The sequence below is a fragment of the Homo sapiens genome, chromosome 3 (genome assembly GCF_000001405.40).
Source record: "Homo sapiens chromosome 3, GRCh38.p14 Primary Assembly".
NCBI classification, from domain to species: domain Eukaryota; kingdom Metazoa; phylum Chordata; class Mammalia; order Primates; family Hominidae; genus Homo; species Homo sapiens.
Window position 1 is genome coordinate 179,621,513 of NC_000003.12, and position 6,830 is coordinate 179,628,342.

Below are 6,830 nucleotides of genomic sequence, written 5' to 3' on the forward strand. Positions count from 1 at the left end.
GAGACAGTTTTGCTCTGTCTCCCAGGCTGGAGTACAGTGGCGTGGTCTCGGCACACTGCAACCTCTGCTTTCCGGGTTCAAGCGATTCTGCCTCAGCCTCCCGAGTAGCTGGGATTACAGGCGCCCGCCACCACACCCCGCAAATTTTTGTATTTTTAGTAGAGACCGGGTTTTGCCAGGCTGGTCTTGAACTCCTGGCCTCAAGTGATCTGCCTGCCTCAGCCTCCCAAAGTGCTGGGATTACATACGTGAGCCACCATACCTGGCCGCTAATAAATTTTTGAGTACATTTAATATCAGTGTTTTAATTACTTTCTATGTATTTACTCATTTATAATTATTGTCAGGTTTGACAGTCTTTAGCTTTTGGGATTTTGTGTCATACAGAGATCTCTGATGATAATTAAATCAGTAAATATGTAATTCCAAAATTATTTTTTTTAATATTCACCATGTCTTCCTTTTCTTTTTTTGAGACAGGATCTCGTTCTGTTGCCTCAGCTGGAGTGCAGTGTTGCAGTCATGGCTCACTGCAGCCCCGACCTCCTGGGCTTAAGCAGTCCTCCAGCCTCAGCCTCCTGAGTAGCTGGGACCACAGGTGCTGGCCACCATGCCCAACTAATTGTTTAGGGGGGTTTTTTTGTTTGTTTGTTTGTTTTGGTAGAGATGGGATCTTGCTCTGTTGGCCAGGCTGATCTCGAACTCCTGGGCTCAAGCAGTCTTCCTGCCTTGGCCTCCCATAGTGCTGGGATTACAGGCATGAGTCAGCTTGCCCAGCCTGTTTTTGTCTTTTGTTTTGTTTTTGTTTTTTTTTTATTTGACATGGGGACTTGCTCTGTTGCCCAGGCTGGACTTGAACTCCTGAGCTCAAGCAACCTTCCCACCTCAGCTCCTGAGTAGCTAGGACTACAGACGTGCCACTGCTCCCAGCTTACTATTTTTTAATGAAATAGGAAGGTGCTACACATGCTTATTTTATACCTTGCTTTTTAAAAACATAACAGTATATGTAGCATCTCCTCCCATGTTACTACATACAGATTCTCCTTATTCTTTTTAGTAGGTACATAGTAGTCCATTATGTGGATGAATCATAATTTAACCAGTTAGTCTCATGTTGATAAATATTTTAATTACGGTTTGGATAGTTATACTCTAAAGAGTAGACAAGAAAGAGAACGTTATTTAATCCTTCAAAAAAGATCAATAAACATAACCTCACAAAGGCATATAATCTCCCATAGGGTAAGTGAGCTGGTTGAGGTTCATAAAGTGACTTATTTAACTGTGATAAATTTTTAGTCCTATGAAAAACTATGTATTCTATAAAAACAGAAAGTAAAAGGTTTGATGGAGAAGGGACTACTTCAGGAATGTGTGATTGTTTGTGCAAAGACTTAGATATGGAAGAGGGAAAGCACCTGTATAAAATAAGAGATTATTCAATTTGTGAAGAAGGACAAGGACAAGTAAGTAGATGTTAGAGTTGGAGAATATTTTTCTTAATCTTGATTTTTCTTGCTTTCTATTTATGTTTGTATAAATATTGACTGAGTATCTGATGTTGACCGGGCCTGGTATAATGCTGGTGAATAAAAAACCAGTTCTACTCTCGAAAAGTTTTCTGTCCTAATGGTGATAGGCAGACACAAGATGTGAAACTCCAAAAAAGCTTATTCATTTGTTAATTCCTAACACCTGGCACAGCATATGGCCATAGTAGTAGACATTCTGTAAATGACTCTCCTAGCATCTAAAAGGTGAGAAGATAGGAAAAGCACTGTAACAATTCAGATGAAAGTGATCTGTGCAGGCACACTGAAGGAGAGAATTCGCTATCAATTTGAGTAATGTTTTGGTGTTAAAAACTGTTTGGTAGGCCGGGTGCGGTGGCTCACGCCTGTAATCCCAGCACTTTGGGAGGCCAAGGCAGGCAGATCACGACGAGGTCAGGAGTTAGAGACCAGCCTGGCCAACATGATAAAACCCTGTCTCCACTAAAAATACAAAAATTAGCTGGGCATGGTGGTGGGCCCCTGTAGTCCCAGCTACTTGGGAGGCTGAGGCAGGAGGATCACTTGAGCCTGGGAGGTAGAAGTTGCAGTGAGCTGAGACTGCGCCATAGCACTCTGACCTGGGCAACCGTGCAAGACTCCGTCTCAAAAAAACAAAAACAACAAAAAAACTGTTTGATAGCTATCTATATAAGCAACATAATAAAAGTCAAAAATAAGTCCCAAATTTTGGTTATAGATATATACCAGATGTATGCCTACATAAGGGTCTGTGGAGGAGCATTATACTTTACATAAAAGCAGACTCCAGTGATTGTCCTTTATGGAAATGGCTCATTAAATTTATAATTGGAAGTGCTGGAATCTCAATATTGCTGTTCCATTTGTTACAGGGTAAAGGAGCTGGAAGTGCGAAAATTGATGCATGTGAGAGGAGATGGACCCTGGTATTACTATGAGACAATTGACAAGGAACTTATTGATCATTCTCCGAAAGCAACTCCTGACAATTAAGCATTTTTTTCTCCAAATACAAAGTATATTCTCTTTATTGGAAAATAAATTAATAAATATATTCTGTATTTTTGCTCTCCGTGAAAAACAAAAGAGCCTCTGACATTACTGTCTCTCAGTGTTGGTTCAGATTGAGGCTTTTGTTTGAGGAGTTTGGCTTCCAGTCCCCAAAGAAGGTTTAAAATGTACTAATAAAAACTGGAGAAATAGGAATTTGTGAACTCCTAAAATTGTAGCAACTTTGAAAGGTTAGTGTTTTATTTACCTGACAAATGGAAGTTATAGAAGTCTAATAATGTTAAGCACCAGTAATTATAGTATTTTGTACAAATGCCTGTACTGTAGATGTCTGTATTATTGAGGGGCAACTCAGGATTTTAAGTTCCATAAAGTATTGAACCAACTCTAAAATGTTAACTCCTTAATAAACAGATTCTCAGTAAACAAATTTTAAAGTTTATAATGCTTTCATGGTTTTTTTTTTTGCCATGTATTGTTCTTTTTTAAACTACACACAGACACACAGACACGTACACACACACACACACACACACACACACACACGCTCTTTTCCTAGATGCAATCTCTGGGATCCCTTAGAGTCCTTTTTTGGGGAAGTAGTTGCACTAGGTAATGTGATTCCTGCAGAGATTATAAAATGTGAGTAAAAGCTAAAAATGACTCATTTATTAAGCATTTATTGTCTGCTAGACACTATATTAAATAACTGCATTTTTTAACATTATTTTCTTTTCTTTTTTTTTTTTTTTTTTTTTGACGAAATCTTGCACTGTCACCCAGGCTAGAGTGCAGTGCCGTGATCTCGGCTGCAACCTCCGCCTCCCGGGTTCAAGCAATTCTTGTCTCAGCCTCCCAAGTAGCTGGGATTACAGGCACCCACCACCACACCCGGCTAATTTTTGTATTTTTCAGTAAAGACTGTTTCGCTGTGTTGGCCAGGCTGGTCTTGAACTTCTGACCTCAGGTGATTGGCCTGTCTCCACTTCCCAAAGTGCTGATTACAGGCCTGAGCCACTGCACCCAACATTATTTTCAAAATGACAAGAGGTAGTATTTAGTACCTGAGGCTCAGATGTTAAACACAAACTCAGTATTTACAAAAATAAACATTTAAAACATTTACACTTCAACTTCCAAAATGGCTTTTTACCATAAACATTCAGGATTTTCAAACCTGTAACAGCTTATCAATGCATCTCATCTTAGAAGTATGTTTTACATTCTTCATAAAAATAAAAATGAACCCAGGCTTCCTAAGATTCAGGCCAGTGGGTCTCCACTTAAGGCCAAATGGAGAAATAATTTTTTGCTGCCTAAACACACAAGTGAATTGAAAAGCCACAGGCCATTCATTCAACAAATAACTTTATTATTTTTATTGATAATGTACTTGTAATGTGCTATTTTGATACATGTATGCAAAGTATAATGGTCAAATCAGGGTATTTGAATATACATATATTTCAAAATATAGTTATATATTTCAAAATAAGATATAGCAAGTTAGAAGTATATATAAGTATATTATTATATGTTATTGTTAACTATAATTTACCTACTGTACTATCAAATACTAGAACTTATTCCTTGTATCTAAATGTATTCTTGTAACCATTAACTAACTTTTCTGAATTTCCTACTCTCCCCTTCCCTTCCCAGCCTTGTAACCACCTTTCTACTCTGCCTCCATGAGACCCATTTTTTAATCTCCCACATATGAGTGAGAACATTCAATATTTGTCTTTCTAGGCTTGGCTTATTTCACTTACATTAATGACCTCCAGTTCCATCCATGTTGCTACAAATGACAGAATCCCATTCTTTTTCATAATATTGTCCATACATACCACATTTTCTATATCCATTTATCTGTTGATGGACACAGGTTGCAAAGGGATTGCTGGATTGTATGATAATTCTATGTGTAGTTTCTTGAGGAACCTTCATGGTGTTCTTCATAGTGGTTGTACTACTGTACATTCCTACCAATGGTGGATGAGCGTTCCCCTTTCTCCACATCCTCACAAGCATTTGTTATTTTTTCTTTTTTTTCAAATGAACATTTTAACTGGGGTGAGATATCTTAATGTGGTATTGGTTTACATTTCCCTAATTATGGTTGAGCATTTTTTCACATATCTAATGGCCATTCATATGTCTTCCTTTGAGAAATGTCTATACAGATCTCTGGCCCTTTTTTTAAATTTTTTTTTTTTTTGAATTGGGGTCACCCAGTCTGGAGGTGATCTGGGCTTCCACATCCTGGGCTCAAGTGATCATTCCACCTCAGGATGACCCAAATAGCTAGGACCAAAGGCGAGTGCCACCATGCTCAGCTAATTTTTTTGTATTTTTTGTAGCGACTGGGTTTCACCATGTTGCCCAGGCTGGTCTTGAACTCCTGTGCTCAAGTGATCCGCTCACCTTGGCCTCTCAAAGTGCAGGTACTTTAGGCGTGCCTGGCCTTTTTGTCCATTTTATTTTTTTGAGATGGAGTCTTGCTGTGTCACCCAGGCTGGAGTGCAGTGGTGCGATCTCGACTCAGTGCAACCTCCGCCTCCCAGGTTCAAGCAATTCTCCTGCCTCAGCCTCCTGAGTAGCTGGGATTACAGGTGTGCACCACCACACCCAGCTAATTTTTTTGTATTTTTAGTAGAGAGGGGGTGTCACCATGTTGGCCAGGGTGATCTTGAACTTCTGACCTTGTGATCCACCCACCTTGGTCTCCCAAAGTGCTGGGATTACAGGTGTGAGCCACTGCGCCCAGCCTGTCCATTTTTTAATCAGGTTATGGGTTTTTTGCTATTGAATTGTTTGAGTTCCTTATATATTCTGGTTATGAATCCCTTGTTAGATGGTGTGTTAGGCCATTCTTGTGTTGCTATAAAGAAAATCCTGAGTCTGGGTAATTTATAAAGAAAAAAGGTGTAAATGGCTCATAGTTCTGCAGACTGTACAGGAAGCATGGCACCAGCATTGCTTGGCTTCTGGGGAGGCCTCAAGGAACTTTCACTCATAGCAGAAAGCAAAGCAGGAGCAGGCACATCACATGGCAAGAGAGCAAGAGAGAGAGGTGGAGGAGATGCCACACACTGTTTTAAACAACCAGATCTCTCAGGAACTCATTGTTGTTAGAAAAGGAATTAAAAGAAATCAAAGAGTGTGTAAGCAGAAACTCAGTTGTACGTAAGAAAACCCAATTCCCCCTGAGAAAGAGAAAGAGCTGGAGTCCTTTAAAAATTCACTGCCTGTTTTTCTGGTGGCTAGTGAGTGTTAGCTCTCCTCCCTTCCCAGGCATTGTGAAGACCCTGTTTCCCTAGCTGTGCAGCTGCAAGGTCACTAGACAGATAAACTCAAGTCGCAAAACATGTTTTTCCTTGAAAAGTAAGAAATGATGTAATGCATGTCTTGACTGAATAACTGTCTTTGTTTCTTGCTTCTGTAATATGCTTCCCCCTGCACAGATCTCCCCCTGCCCCACGAAATGCTTAAAAGCTAACTTAACTCTTTGTTCAGGGCTCAGTCCTTTGGATGTTAATCTGACTGGGCCGGAGCACCTAAATAATAAATATTCTCCTGAACCCCATCGGTCTCTCTGATTCCTTAAAAATCCTGCAACATTGTGAGGACAGCATCAACAGGATGATGCTAAACGATTCGTGAGAAATTTGCCATTATGATCCAATCACCTCCCACCAGGCCCCACGTCCAACACTGGGAATCACATTTCAACATGAGAGTTGGGGGGACGAATATCCAAACTCTGTCATATGGATAGTTTGCAGATATTTTCTCCTACTCTGTAGGTTGTCTCTTCACTTTTTTAATTGCTTCCTTTGCTCTACAGAAGCTTTTGTAGCTCAACATAATCCCATCTGTCTTTCTATGTTTTTGTTGCCTGTGCTTTTGAGATCTTACCCAAAAAAATCTTTGCCCAGACCGATGTCCTCTATCATTTCCCCAATGTTTTCTTTTAATAGTTTTATAGTTTCAGGTCTTACATTTAATCTTTAATCCATTTCGAGTTGATTTTTATATATAGTGAAAGATGGGGATCTAGTTTCATTCTTCTGCATATGGATATCCGGTTTTCCCAGCACAATTTGTTGAAGACACTGGCAGCTATGTGGGATCTTTTGTAGTTCCATATACATCTTAGAATTTTTTTTTCTATTTTTGTGAAGAATGTCACTGGTATTGTGATAAGGATTGTATTGAATCTGTAGATTCCTTTGGGTAGTACAGACATTTTAACAATGTTGATTATTCCAATCCACGAGT

At 39.5% G+C, this 6,830-nt stretch overlaps 1 protein-coding gene across 3 annotated transcripts in view; it reads left to right on the plus strand.

Annotated features, from left to right (window-relative positions):
• NDUFB5 (NADH:ubiquinone oxidoreductase subunit B5) overlaps window positions 1-6,135 on the plus strand; it is a 22,854-nt gene extending 16,719 nt beyond the window's left edge. For all 3 annotated transcript variants that reach the window (NM_002492.4, NM_001199958.2, NM_001199957.2), the window contains one exon: window positions 2,408-6,135. In NM_002492.4, the coding sequence (NP_002483.1) occupies window positions 2,408-2,528 (121 nt within the window). In that variant the 3' untranslated portion in view covers window positions 2,529-6,135. The remainder of the gene's footprint in view (window positions 1-2,407) is intronic.
• Window positions 6,136-6,830: the final 695 nt, after the last annotated feature.